General features: G+C 34.4%; 1 protein-coding gene across 19 annotated transcripts in view; it reads left to right on the top strand.

The window, feature by feature from the left end:
• GAS2 (growth arrest specific 2) overlaps nucleotides 1–15,244 on the top strand; it is a 187,054-nt gene that overhangs the window by 114,075 nt on the left and 57,735 nt on the right. For all 19 annotated transcript variants that reach the window (NR_147085.2, XM_047426745.1, XM_011519972.4 and 16 more), the window contains one exon: nucleotides 9,044–9,185. Coding sequence is in view for 18 of the 19 variants with exons in the window: in XM_047426745.1 (XP_047282701.1) it covers nucleotides 9,044–9,185 (142 nt within the window). In the remaining variant the exon portion in view is untranslated. The remainder of the gene's footprint in view (nucleotides 1–9,043; nucleotides 9,186–15,244) is intronic.

Consider the following 15,244-nt stretch of genomic DNA (forward strand, 5'->3'; position numbering starts at 1 on the left):
GCCTTTAAGAATCACCTTTCCTCCAGCTCCGAGTCTGGCATAAATTGCCCCTTGTTACAGGATGTAAAACAAATTAAAATCTTGGTTAATGAAAGTGAATTATAATGGCCTTGTCATTTTCAAGGTAATACATTATGTGAATAGTTCCTCCCACCCAAATATTTTAAAATTGTGATTTGGGTTTGTTCCATTTCTGACCATGATTCATTTCCACGCAACCTGATAAAAGCAGTGATTATTCACATTACCAAAAACTATATTATGGATTTTACAAAAGAAGTTCCATAAGGATTAAGATAACCCTTACATTAAAATATTTAATTTGTAAATTTGGCCTTTTATCTTCTTGACTCAACTTGGATGGTGTGAACTATTGTGTACCTTCAGCAATAAAAAAAATCCTAATAAATTATTCATGGTGCTACTATTATTCTAGTGTGTGACATGATGGTAAATAGTTGAATACCAGTAGGATAGATTGAACATTTAAGTAAGAATGTCTTAAGTTTCTCTCTGGATACATTTAAAGTTTTTTTGATTTTGTTGCAAATTCAAACGTGTTTTACAAATGGCAACCCAATAAACTCAGATCTTACTGTTTTACCCCTGTGTTGAAGCATAATTAGTTGAAAGAAAAAAGGGAAATTTCTCTTAATCTAATTTTACTCCTAAATTTTGCCTTACATACATTAGACATATATCTAAATGCTTAAATTTGTGCTTCTCACAGACCCATAGAGGATTATACAAATTAATGACTTAAAACAGTTTTAAGCAGAACTAGAAGTGATTTTGGGAGAGCTCTCAATAATCACAACAGTAATTTGCACACAGAGCAGATGAGTTTAGACCTTAATGAAGTCTCCAGTACAATCTTGTGAGTTTTGTGTTTTTCATCATTGATAGACGATGTATTCTTATATTTGATTCTAAACACTTTTCCAGATTACATAAACATAATTTTAAAACCATAAACATCACTTTGGAAATGATTCCCAGTGAGTTTCTGATTCTCTGCCATGTTTTCCTCTCGGGACACTTAGGAAGCTCCTTTGCGAGCTGTGGGCTTCTCTGAGTTCTGAGATGGCTGAATGAGACCACTTATTTTTGTTCTCATGGGTAAAACTTACTTTTATTTTCAACTAAATAGAGCTATCATCACTGAAGAGTGAAATCCCTCTGCTAATATTTCAGAAAAATATCAGTTTCTGAATATAAAATATGTGTTTGACTTGTGAAAAGTAAAACTGTGTAAAAGCAAGTTAATAAAACCTCAAAGATATTTTTACTGACAGTGTTTTGATATTCATTGCTGAAAACAAAGTTAGTATAAATTCAGCATTTTTTGACTGTAGAATTAAGATGATCCTTATAATAGAAGTAAAAAAAAAACTTTTGATATTTTCGTTTAGGGTCATAATCAATAATCAGTGGTATAGTGGAGTTTTTTATGAATTTTATTTTTTAGTATTTCTTTGATTTGGAGCAAAATTTATGATCATTTAAAAGAAAAATACTTTCGGAACATTTTCTTTAATCTGTGATTTTTATTCATTACCTTTTAAAAGGAAATGTTACTTAAAAGAAAAAAATATTCTTATACAAAGATGATTAACTGACCCATCCTATTTAAAGCACTTGAACTAACTGCTGAGAACATCATATACTTTCACATGGTTGAAATTTCCTTCCAAATCTAAATCAATCTTTAAATTGCTTTAAAACAGAAGATAAATGAGGAAAAAATTATCTTGCAGGAATCTATAAACTGTCTGTTATATGCCTTAAAAAGGACAGTTTCTCGCACTAGGCTGTAAAATTTGTCCCTCTAACCCTAGTAAAATAGGATCCAGATGTCTTTTGTTTGAAAACTCTAGACTACTAAATAGTTTGAGTAAATTTTCTAGTTTAGGCCTCAGTTTGGGGTCTTAGTAATTTTACCTAGAGCTCAAAAACTGTGTCAAGTGCCAGAAAAATGAGAAATCCATTCCTAAAACCTCATCATAAAGTCATTAACCATAAGACCTGTTCCCTATCACTTTAAAAAAAAATGAGACAAAAATATGTTGCCCTTTGAGTATTCGCCCTACTTTCATTATCACTGGGGTATAAAGGTATGAGGATATGATTTTAGTGGATTCTACCTTCTTGGTCTCTTTAGTGTGACCCTTAATTAGTTTGAGAACAACAGCTACCCCATTCTAAAACTCTGAAATCTTGTGGTTGGAAGGGAGTGGAAAATACTATAAATGTGTGAAAACCTCATTGACAAAATAAAAATGTGGAGTGGTATAGAGTTCATGGAAACCAGAATGAAGCAGCCTTTTGGAGAACAGAAAAAAGATCTATTTGATGACTAAGTTGACTTGCAGGTGCAAGCCCCCAACCCAAAGGGAATTTTGTGATTTACAATCTGTTGACATCTCCAGACAGACAGGAAGCCAGTGAATCGTATTTAAGTATGCATTTCAGGACTGGCTGACTGTACCTTAGGCAGTTTGAAGTATTCAAAAGCCAATATAAGCAGAGATTTGGGACTTAGTGTTGATTTTTTATGTTCAGCGGCATAACTAATTTTCAGCATTCCCAGATAAAGAAAAATCTCCAGAGAAAGGTTTTCCATGTGTGACTTTGTTACCAATTTTATTCAAACCTAGTCTACTTTGTTTATATTGGACATAGAGCCAAGTCTGTTGTTACTCGAACATAAGTATTATTATTTCACTTTGTAAAAAAATTTAAAAATTATGCAATCTATTCCTGAAAGGTGGCATGAATCCACCTACAATTACAAATGAAATCATATTTTCCAATTCACCTAATTTAAGTTTCAAATATGATATTTTTCACTTATGGATGACTTTTAATTGGCTGTGACTTCTCACGTCTTAAGTTACTCTAGCCTCACTACCAAGTTTATGCTATTCTTTTAAGACCATTAAACATAACCAAATTTTATAGCTTCCTGGAACTAAGATGGCAGAAAAGTTTACAGAGTTTAAAAGGGGTTGCTTGACAAATTTTACCCAGTGAGTTAGTAGCAAAGCTGAATTTATAACTTGATCTGCTAAACTCCAGTACTGAGATAGTTCTGACATTTCACAATTCTAGGGAAATTTATTTAAAGAATGACTACAGTAAATTTTTTGGTAAAGAATATAATAATATTACTTTGTATTTTAACACCTTAATTTTGAAGTTAACATGATGTCATTCAGTGGTATAATATATTCTAAAAACCAAGAATTTTAGCAACAGAACCTTAGTGCTGCAGTTTCCAGATTGTACAACACTTAATTTGTCAATTAACTTATCAACAATCTCAGATGTTGTGCCATGTGTCAGAGACTATACTGGGCACATGAAGTACACTATTTAATTCCTTCTAATAATACTAAAACATAGAAATTAGAATTTCCATTTTATATTTAAATAAAACTGAGTTTCAGAAATAATATATGTCAAGATATCCAGCAATGTCAGATGCATTGAAGATGCTCAGTAGCAGTTGCTTTTCTAAGATTCTTCCTCTTGCCTCCCTCCCTCCACTGCTACAACAGACCTTGAGAACAGGCCATTTTCATTTCTACTTTTCTGATGGAAAATAGACTCATCGAAGTTAAGTGATTTGTGAAATTTTAGAAGTAGGTTATAAAGGAAATAGAAGAATAAGAACAAACTAACCCAAAGCTAGCAGAAGAAAAGAAATAACTAAAATCAGAGCATAACTGAAGAAAATTGAGACCCCAAAATCCATACAAGGAATCAATGAAACCCAAAGTTGGTTCTTTGAAAGGATACCAAGATTGATGCACCACTAGTTAGACTAACAAAGAAAAAGAGAAGATCCAAAGAAGCTCAGTCAGGAATGACAAGGATGACACTGTGATTGATCCCGAAGAAATACAAAAGATCCTCAGAGACTATTATGAACACCCTAGGTACACAAACTAGAAACTCTAGAGGAATGGATAAAATCCTGGAAACATACAACCTCAAAAGATTGGATCAGGAAAAAGTTGAAACCCTGAACAGACCAATATTGAATTCTGAAATTGAATCGGTAGTAAAAAGCCTACCACCACCACCAACAACAAAAAAGCCCTGGGCCAGATGAGTTCACAGCTAAATTCTACCAGACATACAAAGAAGAGCTGGTACCTATTCTACTGAAACTATTCCAAAATTTAAGGAATAGGGACACCTCCCAAGTTCATTCTGTAAAACCAGCATCACCCTGATTCCAAAATCTGGCAAAGACACAATGAAAAAAGAAAACTACAGGCCAATATTTCTGCTGAACACAGGTGCAAAAATTCTTAACAAAATACTAGCAAACTGAATTTAACAGCACATCGAAAAGTTAATTCCCCATGATCCAGTAGGTTTTATTCCTAGAATACAAGATTGGTTCAACATATGCAAATCAATAAATGTAATTTACCACATAAACAGAATTAAAAACAAAAGCCATATGATCATCTGATAGATATTGAAAAAACTTTGGATAAAATGCAACATCCCTTCATGATAAAAAAAACCCTCAACTAACTAGACATTAAAGGAACCTACCTCAAAAGAATAAGAACCATCTATGACAAAACCACAGCCAACATCATATTGAAGCAAAAGCTGGGCAAAAACTGGAAGCATTTCCCTTAAGAAGGGGAATGAGACAAGGATGCCTACTCTCTTCACTCCTATTCAACGTGGTACTGGAAATTCTAGCCAGAGCGATCAGGCAAAAGAAAGACATAAAATGCATCCAAATAGGAAAAGAAGAAGTCAAATTATCTCCCTACAAAAAAGTAAAATAAAACACCTAGGAATACATCTAACTAGAGAAGTGAAAGATCTCTACAAGAAGAACCACAAAACACTGCTGAAAGAAATAATAGATGACACAAACAAAGGAAGAACCAATATCATTAAAACGGCCATACTGCCCAAAGCAATCTATAAATTCCACACCATTTCTATCAAACTGCAGCTGTCATCTGTTATGGAAGTAGAAAAAAGTATTCTAAAATTCATTTGGAACCAAAAAAAAAAAAAAAGAAAGAAAAAAGCCCAAATAGCAAAAGCAATTCTAAGCAAAAAGAACAAGCCAGAAACATCACATTACCTGACTTCAAGCTATACCCTAAGGCTACAGTAACCAAAACAGTGTGGTACTGGTACAAAAACAGACAGAACAATGAAACAGAATATAGAATCCAGAACCAAAGCTGCCTACCTACAGCCATCTGATCTTTGACAACATTACCAAAAATAAGCAATGGAGAAAGGACTCTCTTATTCAATAAATGGTGCTGGGATAATGAGTATCCATAAGCAGAAGAATGAAACTGGATCCATACCAATCACTATATACAAAAATTAGCTCAAGATACATTAAAGATTTAAACGTAAGACTTCAAGCTATAAGAATTCTAGAAAAAATCCTAGGAAATACTAGGATTCCTAAATACTAGAGTAAATCTGCAAAAGCAATTGCAACGAAAACAAAAATTGACAAGTGGGACCTAATTAAACTAAAGAGCTTCTGCACAACAAAATAAATTCAATGGAGTAAGAAGCAACCTACAGAATGGGAGAAAATATTCACAAACTACACACCTGACAAAGGTCTAATATCCAGAATCCATAAGAAACTTAAACAATTCAATAAGCAAAGCCAAATAACATCATTAAAATTTGGGCAAAAGACATGAACAGACACTTAAAAAAACATACAAGTGGCCCCAAAACATACAAAAATATTCTCAGTATCACTAATCATCAGAGAAATGTGAATCAAAACCACAATGAAGCCAGGCACAATGGCTGACACCTGTAATGCCAGCACTTTGGGAGGCCAAGGCAGACAGATCACTGGACCCCAGTTTGAGACGAGCTCCACCTCTATAAAAAATTACAAAAACTCCACCTTTACAAAAAAATACACACAAAAAATTTAGCCAGGCATGGTGGCATCTGCCTGTAGTCCCAGCTACTCAGAGGGCTGAGGTTGGAGGATCACTTGAGCCCAGGAGGTCAAGGCTGCAGTGAGCCATGATCACACCACTGCACATCAGCCTAGGTGACAGAGCAAGATCATGTCTCAAAAACAAACAAACAAACAAACAAAAAACCCATCAGTTACTGGTGAAGCTGCTGAGACAAGGGAAGACTTATACACTGTTGGTGGGAATGTGAATTAGTTCAGCCACTGAGGAAAGCAGTTTGGAGATTTTGTGAAGAGCTGAGAACCACTATTCAACCCATCAATCGCGTTACTAGGTATATACCCAAAGGAAAATAAATCATTCTACCAAAAAGACACAGGCACTCATGTGTTCATAGCAGCACCGTTCACAATAGCAAAGATGTGGAATCAATCTAATTGCCCATCAATGGTGGATTGGATAAAGAAAATGTAAGACATAGAATACTATGCAGTCATAGAAAAGAATGAAATCATGTCATTTGCAGCACCATAGAGGCAGCTGAAGGCCATTATCTTAAGCAAATTAACACAGAAACAGAAAACCCAATACTGCATGTTCTCACTTATACATGAGAGCTAAACACTGGGTACTCATGGACATAAAGATGGGAACAAAAGACACTGGGAACTCTAGAGTGGAGAGCAAGGGAGGGAGGAAAGGCTAAACAAAAACTAATTTGGTACTATGATCACTACCTGGGTAATGGGATCATTTGTACCCCAAACCTCAACATTATGCAATATACCCATGTAACAATTCTGCACATGTACCCCTGAATCTAAAATACAAGTTGAAATTATTTAAAAAATAAAAAAATTAAGTAGGTCAATGGAACAGTTAGTTCAAAATAACTCAGAGAAGAATGAGAAACAAATCTTAATGTGAGTATTGTTGGTACTTGTCAAGAGCAAGGTAACCAGATGCTGTCTAGAATTCAGCATAATCAATGATTACTAGAAAACTAAAAAAAATGTGTTCTAGTTTTGGACAAGGTTGAAGTCTTCTAGATTAACTTGGTCAAGCATTTTTGTACATTTAATACTTACATGCTTTATTAAAGCCTTATATGCAGTTAGGGATTCAAAACCATAAGACTGAATTTATATTAAGAACCTTATTTTTATATGAGAATAGAGAATTTTTTTACATTCAAATGGTAGCTGTTAGGTTATTGCCCTGTGCCAAGATCTTATGTAAGATGCTTGTGATTCTTGGAAGGAGACAGACAGTGATCTCTACCACTATGTTTGCAGTCTAGCAGTTTCCACCATTGTCCTGTCCCATAAACTGGTACCTATGTACAACAGATTAGAAATATGTTCAATGGTGCCTACAGTCTTTTAGCAAGTGATATCTATGTAAGTAAACATTAATCTGTGAACTAGAGTCTGTTCTAAAAGCAGTAATTGTTCAGTAGAATTGGGCTCACTAGACTGTTTTGTTTAAATTTTCCATCTCTCAAAGGGCTCCTAACACATAGCACCCCTCTTTACTATCTGAATTCTGAAAAAAATAGAAAATAAAAGACTTGCATGTCACCTTTACAGCTAAAAAGATCCAAGCCAATAGACATGCTTGGTGTCTTTAACAGAGCTCCAGAATTAGGCCAACTAACTATCTAGTCACAAGCAAAGTGGGGGGTCCATGTGGAGGGCTCCCGGTGGACAGCTTCTTCCCCAGAAGTAGGGTAAACTAAGTAAAGCATGCTCAGTTTATTCATAAATTTACTAATTTTATAAATCCCTTTATCTTGTAGTGGATGGGTAATGAAGCAGAAAAGCCAGGAATAAAACTACTTGAGCATCCACTGCAAAAACAAAACATCAAGAATAGGGAAATCGCTTTCCCCTCGGAGTATGTACTGAACATATGTGTAATGGTATCAGTTAAAATAATAAGCAGTTAGAATAGGACAATTACTTAAGGTTAAATCTAATGATGTTTTCATATACTGTTCAATAAGAAGTACTAAAACATTGTCAACATATTCTCTATCTATAGATTATTTACTTTGTATATTTTTTAAAAATAGATAAAAAAGTAGATAATAGTAGATTAAAAAAAACATGTTTTTAAATCTCCAAGTGACTTTTCCCCTCCTTTTTAACACCCAGTCACCTGATTAAAGTCAGAGAAACTGCATTTAAGTCTTTATCCTGCTCCTTGCTAGTTATATATTTTCTCTAGATCTCTATTATCTGTAAAAGTGAGAGGGTGTAAATTGATGATCCCCAAAACCCTTCACAACTCTCAAATTCTAGAATTATTATTGGCCTCCCCCACCTAGGTACAGTTGATATGTACCTAGGAAACCAAATCTAATTTTATATTTAGCTAAAGAAATATATGATTACAGGAGATAGTAACTATGTCTCTCCCTTTGAACTTTTCTGGCATTTATAATTTGCAAAACACATGTTTTATACATTGTTACTCTAAATTATGTCTCTGTTTCCTCTATGCTCAGTTGTTTCCCAAAACAATATATATGCTTTCATTATGCTATTCCTAGGATCATAACCTATGACATTGTATAACCCATAGTACAATGTTCTGGACCCATAGGAAATATATTCAAAGTTAATTCTTTTCTGCTAAATCATTTAAAGATGTTTATTTCTGGGGATTGCTGTTTGCAAACTTGAGTCTGACCCTCTGGTTGTATTTCTATTTTTAACAAACTTAGGTTCAAAATAGTTTCATTACAGCACTAGTATCAGTAAACCTGGTAAATGTGAATGCTGAAGACCAAATTTACATGGTTATTCATGTTGCTGTTTCATTAATATATTGCATTGAGTGTTTTTATTTATTTTTAGTATACTATGTGTGTCCATATATGTACACGTATGCATACACAGCAGGTATACATGTTTTGCCTCTGCTTAGAAGGATGCTAATTCAAGAGCTTACAATTTCAATGCCAGAAAAAAAGTGAATGTTATTTTTAAAAGTCAGTGATTTACTCCCATGGTGCTCATCATCACATGTAATATATGGTAATTGTATCATTATAAGTTATGCATATGTAATGATCCAGGGTCTTTTTAAAGGTATGGTGTGGAGCCTCCTGGTTTGATAAAGCTGGAAAAAGAGATTGAACAAGAAGAAACACTTTCTGCCCCTTCTCCTTCACCTTCTCCTTCATCAAAGTCTTCTGGAAAAAAGAGTACAGGAAACTTACTGGATGATGCAGTAAGTAAAATCAGTCAGACTTCTTACCAACGGTTAGTCTTTCTTGCACTACAAAACATATTCTGTGCAATCTCGTATCAGTCTAATCTTTACCTATATCAATTTTCTTGAAATGTATTTTAAGCCCATATGAAAAACTTTGTAGTCCTACAATTCATTTTGAGATTCAAAACTGAACTAGTTGTTCAAAATAAAGTGTCATTTAATGCTGCAGACCAATATCTAAAACTTTAGAATAATAAGTCAACTCCCTGAAAATTGTATTTGAAAACATGAAAGTCTCTTTGTCACTGGATCACCATTCCCCCTTTCACAGATGAGAAGTCTGAAAACAAGATCTTGAGGATTGTTAAAGAAGGGAAAGTAAATGTATGATAGAGAAGTTAAGTGCCTTTTATGGACTACCATTGTTTTTCAAGTGCTCTCATATATGAAAGGCAGGTTCCCTCTTGAGAAATGGAAACATAGAAATTGAGTAACCTGCTGAGGGGAGGAGAGGAGCTTAGATTCCAACAAAAGTTTTGTCTAACTCTTCAAGGTCGCTCTACTTAGCAGAGCCCTTGAGTCACAATTTTTGGTAGTTAGGAAATGTTTTAACAGAATCACAGTAAACCGTTTTTAGGTATAACAGCAAACATGGTGAATTAAAACTCTCAAGTGACCTTGGTTGTCTGTTAAGTAGTTATTGGTTATGAAAAGTAGTGTGCTTGAGTATGTGTGTGCATATGCCCTCCACATATATTTTAAGTGCAAATATAAAAAAAATTAATAAAGGAGATAAATCATGAGTGACTGGGATGTTGTTTATGCAAAGTTTGTATTGTGGGAGTTGTAGTTGCTTATTAATTTTATAGAAAATGGCAATGCCAGAGGCATTAGAGTGACGTATGTCTCACATACATGGGGAGAGTCCTTAGAAACTAGCACCAACCACAATGCCAGCTGTGAAAATAGGCAGAACTGAAAAGGACTGGTGGTCCATAGCTGTGAGTTTCTTCCTCCAGGATATGAGCAGAAAAGAGCTGGGAAAATGGTTGGACACTACAGGATGCAGAAAAAGAGATTTCTCTGACTTTTGCTTTTCTCCATGTGACACGATCAACTATATTGCAGATTTAGATGAGCCGAAATATAACAGTTTGTCTGATAGATTAAGAACCCTCATTTCTGTTAAGGGCAGCAAGCATATTAGCTCTTAAAGGTATCTTAGCTAGTTTAATTTGGTTTCTTCTGGGTAACTGTTCAATCACTCAGGAACTAAAGAAGAACAGGAAAGACATTTTGATTTAAAGCTACTGAAAAGGATTTTAAAATCACATAACTTTTTTGAAGAATTGGTCATATACCTTGCTTTTCATAGGATTTCACTTTTTATTTTGTAAGGAAATTGAGTAACATTATATTATTAGTAGATAATGATCTATTGTTTATATATTGATGAGAACATTTTTTCTTCTGTGTCAATTATACTTTTTTTATTAGACTTACTTTAGGGTAAGATGTACCTCTAGTCTTTATGTTATAAATATATTTCCCTGGGGCAAATATACTTCCTTATAGTCTATTTCCTTTCAGCTATCACCTTCATTCATTTTTTTTTAAATGCCTTATAGTCAGGGTTCCAGACCACTAAAGAGTATCTGGCTAATGTCCCTCTTATCCTCCTATTGAATGAATTACTGGATCAAATGAATTTTTTTAGTCCGGAAATTATGAGATTGCTTCCTGGTATTTGACACTGTTGACCACTCCATTCTTGAAATGCATCTCTACAACATTTCTGCTACCAGAAGGATAAAACTAAATGCACTTTGGACTTGATTAAAATTATATAGGGTGCTCTATAACATTTGGGTGAAATCCAAGCTCATTCATATGTCATATAGTCCATAGCCCTCCATGTTCTGGCCTACTGTGTGTTTTCTGGCTATTTTGTCTGCTGCATTAGTCCCTGAATTTTGATGTAGCCATTGTTGCTTTCTCACTATACTTCTGCCTACTCACCTGTTACACTACTTTTAAACACCTTTCCATCTTTTAAAATTCAGGTTGCGCTACCCCCTATATAAAGATTTTTCTGGTATCTCTCATCCCAGGTATAACTGGCAAATCATTCCTTGGTGCTGCCAAGTATTTGTATCTATTTAATGAAGCATTTACCTTTTTGGGTATAAATGTCCTTTCATCTCAAGGTGCAGACTTTGTACTCAAAGACAAAGACCATATTTTATCGATCTACATCCAGTACTGTGTTTTTTGGATATATTATCAATGTAGCTAATTAAGGTTGAAACTTCTCCCTTATTCTGTTTATCCATGTTGGCCACATGCTCTGGAAATGCATGCACCTTTCATTTCTACTGTAGCTTTTTAGAGGGTGGAGATGCTGCCACTTGAAGCTATTTCTGTGAACCTAGAAGTAGCTAGGATGATTTTCTTTCTTCACTAGCTTGTCCCCTATCTGGCAATCCTTGAGATGGGGAGAAAAAGAAGAGAGGGCAAGAAGGTGATAGGAAAACTATGAAAAGGACTTCAGAGTTTACCAATACTCCAGTTCAGAAAAAGAGAGTGAAATAAAGATTTTCCATACAATAGTAAGCCAGTCAGTCAATACATGGTGGTTCTCCCCTACTCCCAAATTGTATGCTCTCAGTTGAGAACAATGGAATGGATTTCTCAGGAGCTTTAAGCCTTCTTTAAAGTTTACCAGAATTTAGAATATAAACATCTGCTCAAAGTTTTAATCAAATGTAGGAAATATACAATGTGGATATTTCTGTAACTTTGTCAGCTAGAATATTATGTTTCACAAGTCTTTAAAATGGCATTTTTCAATCAATGTTTGATCAAACACACCACGGTTAAATTAGTTTGAAAAATACAACTTACTATATATAGATTAGGACTGTAGTCCTCATGCAGAGTCTGGTGATAAACTTTGGCATATCAAAGGCTCTAGTGAGTTCCATAATAAGATCTTGTTTAACCTGGAATCTTCTAAACTTATTTGACCACAGAAGTCTCTTATTCCTTCATTTTACACTGGGGAAAACTGCATTGAACTATTTGCATTCTGTTTGATAGGTTTTTTTTTACTGAAGTGTTTTATTTCAGGAACAGTGGAGCAGAGAGAAAAGTAATCTGAGCTTCACTAATGTTTTAAATCAGAAATTAATACATCTAATATAAAAGGAAATTGTTCCTATAGTAACTGCTTCACTGCATGTGAGGCACATATAGCAGTTCGGGGTTGAAAATGATGTACTCCAACATGGGTTTTAGAATAGAAATATAAAATAGAGATTGCTTGCAGAGTTTCTGCGTTTAGTTAATAATATTGGCTAATTTTACTCTGGGAAAGCTATTATCTGCCACCCCAAAAAAGAAAAGGAGGAGGAAAAAGAGAAAGAGGAGGAGTAAAAGAAGGGAAAAAAAAACAAGAAGAAGAAAAAAGAGAGAAAGCAAAAGAAGCAGATCTGTGTTAAGATATTATAGTCCAGTGAACAGTTTCAGCAATAACTGCCAGTTTTGAAACCTTCAATGTTTCTTCACATTTCTTTGTTTGATACTTAGGGGAATAGTGGGAAAAAATAGGTGACCCTTTATGTGGAAAATACATCACCTTCTTTAATCAAGATATCATGAAAGAAACACAGTGGTTTCCATTCAGATTAATTTATTCTCCAGATGTCCTGATAGAGTGATTCAGCTGTGATAAAACGGTGGAGTCAGGTTTAGTTCTCCTCTTCGCGAGCTAGTTCTCACACAATGAGTTGAATACAGTTCTCAGAAATCATTCTTACTTTCTTCCTCTTCTCCATCAACTTCCTCAGTCTGGGGATGAGAGATAGTATAATTCTGAGTAATCAGGCTCCTCTTGAAATCCCATTTCAGCAGAAAACTGGCTGGGTTCCTAGCCAAAAAAGAACACCTGCCAGACTGACTTTTCCCTAGGTAATGTAAGAAGCACAGATGTCATCAGTCACTGTTTACTTAACAATATATTTCCACTGGCCACAGTCTGGCCTTGTTTCTTCCATTTCTGCTTCCACCTCTCATACAACTACAAAAACAGCCCTTGACTTTTAAAATGAACTCCATTTTCAAAGCTAGAAAGGCATTTGAGAAGGGCAGGCCACTTGAGAAAATGTTTCTTGTATTTTATTTCATTTGATACCAAGAGTTTCTGTCTTTTGTCTAAGAAGACTGCAAAATGGAATTACTTTCCATACAGACTTGTGATTGTCATTTTTTAGTGGAGGAACCAGTTGAACATCAATTTACTCTTTGGTTAATTACCACATGGCAGCAAAATTGTGCCAAGCATGATCCTCCTAAAGTTCAGGCCTCAGGCCATGTGCTTTCTTGATGCTGTCAGTCTGATTTTCTTCTGGATGATCGACCCCTTCTCCCAATGCCCCTCCCTTTCTTCATCCTTGCTTTCCTCATGGAAGCCCTTATTTGTGGTGATAAGGAAAACAGTACCACTTCTAGCAATGGCATAAACATATTTTACATGTATATACACACATTTATATTTAAACATATTTTATAAACACATATAGAAAGAGATACACATAGAAAAATACTGAAAACAGGAACTATAGACAACATTCATTGGTCCTGTGACCCTACCCTCAGTCCTAGAATGTGGTTCTGCATTATTGGAAGGAAATGATGTGCTCTTTATTCAACTTTTATATATCTTGTTTTATTATCATCGTCCCATTCAGAAATAACCTTTCAAAAAATCTCTTAGAACAGAAATCTATTAGTGTTGGGGTGAATGTATCTATAGACCAAGTATAATATGACAGAACAAACTCAGAACACAAAGTAATTGCCCTAATCACTAACTTAATGTTAAGTAGTTTTCTCATTTTTTGATGAAAGCTATTTTTAAGGTTCTTTGAATCCATGATTATTTTGTTCCTCTAATTTCCCCCTGTGACCTGTATAGATTCATGTTCTTATATATCTATTTAGTCAATGTGTATTTAATGAATATTTATTTGCCATTAAGATGTGCTTTACATCAATGATTTTAAAATATAATGAAATACCATCTTAACTCCAAAGGAACTCAGTCTAGCAAGAAGACATTAAGGTTAACCACTAAATGAGATACAATATGCTATGATAAAAATAAGTGCCAAAAGCCATAGGTTTATATGTCAGCAAAATTAAGGATGGCAAAAAGGACTAATGGCAATGTATATATTAAAGTTGGTTCTTTTGTTCTTTTCCCCCCAAAATAGTGTTGGTTCTCTTTGTATACATCCTCACTGAGTCATAATTGTACATGCGATAAATTTATGAGATAAATTTAATTTCAGGGTTTTTTTCCTTTTTTTTTGGTTATTCTTCTATTGTCTTATGCTTTCAAACTTTCTGGAACATTTCTTATTCTAGGAAAAACAAGTTGTTTAATTCCTTTACATTAACATTCAATTGAGTTCATGTTTTACTCTCTGCACAGTTTTTGCTTAGAAGGCTGATTAAAGTCAAAAATCGAATTATTTGAAGGAATGATTGCATTTCTTTCATGACATAAATGGGGTAGACCCCATGACATCTTTGTGGAAGAATTCGGGTGAGGAAAATCCAGGCCAATTTCTAAATTTGTTCTATCTAGCTTCTAAATTCAGACTGCACATCATTTACGGCTTTCTGTTTCTTCCATGGAAACTTTTCCTCAAAACACAGGAGATTATTGTTTTGGGTTGTTTGGTTGGTTGGTTAGTTGAAGAGCAGACAGAGTGGGTGGTTCCCCATCAGGGAAAACATAAACATAAAATTGTTCCTAAAATCGTGGACTATTATATTATCATCTAGTAATCACAACTATTCATAAGCTTTATGCACATATCATTTAGATTATGTATTTTTAGAAGAGTGGGAGAATAGATATAACAGGGATAAAAATCTGATATTCAGGCATCAATTACATAGAACACACATAAGCTATAAAACATGGTCAAAGAAGTAGGGTTTGATAGGTAGGAATTACTGAGATGGAGTGAGTTGCAGGGTAAATCTGAGTATATGAGAGATTAATT

This window comes from Homo sapiens, chromosome 11 (genome assembly GCF_000001405.40).
Source record: "Homo sapiens chromosome 11, GRCh38.p14 Primary Assembly".
NCBI lineage: Eukaryota > Metazoa > Chordata > Mammalia > Primates > Hominidae > Homo > Homo sapiens.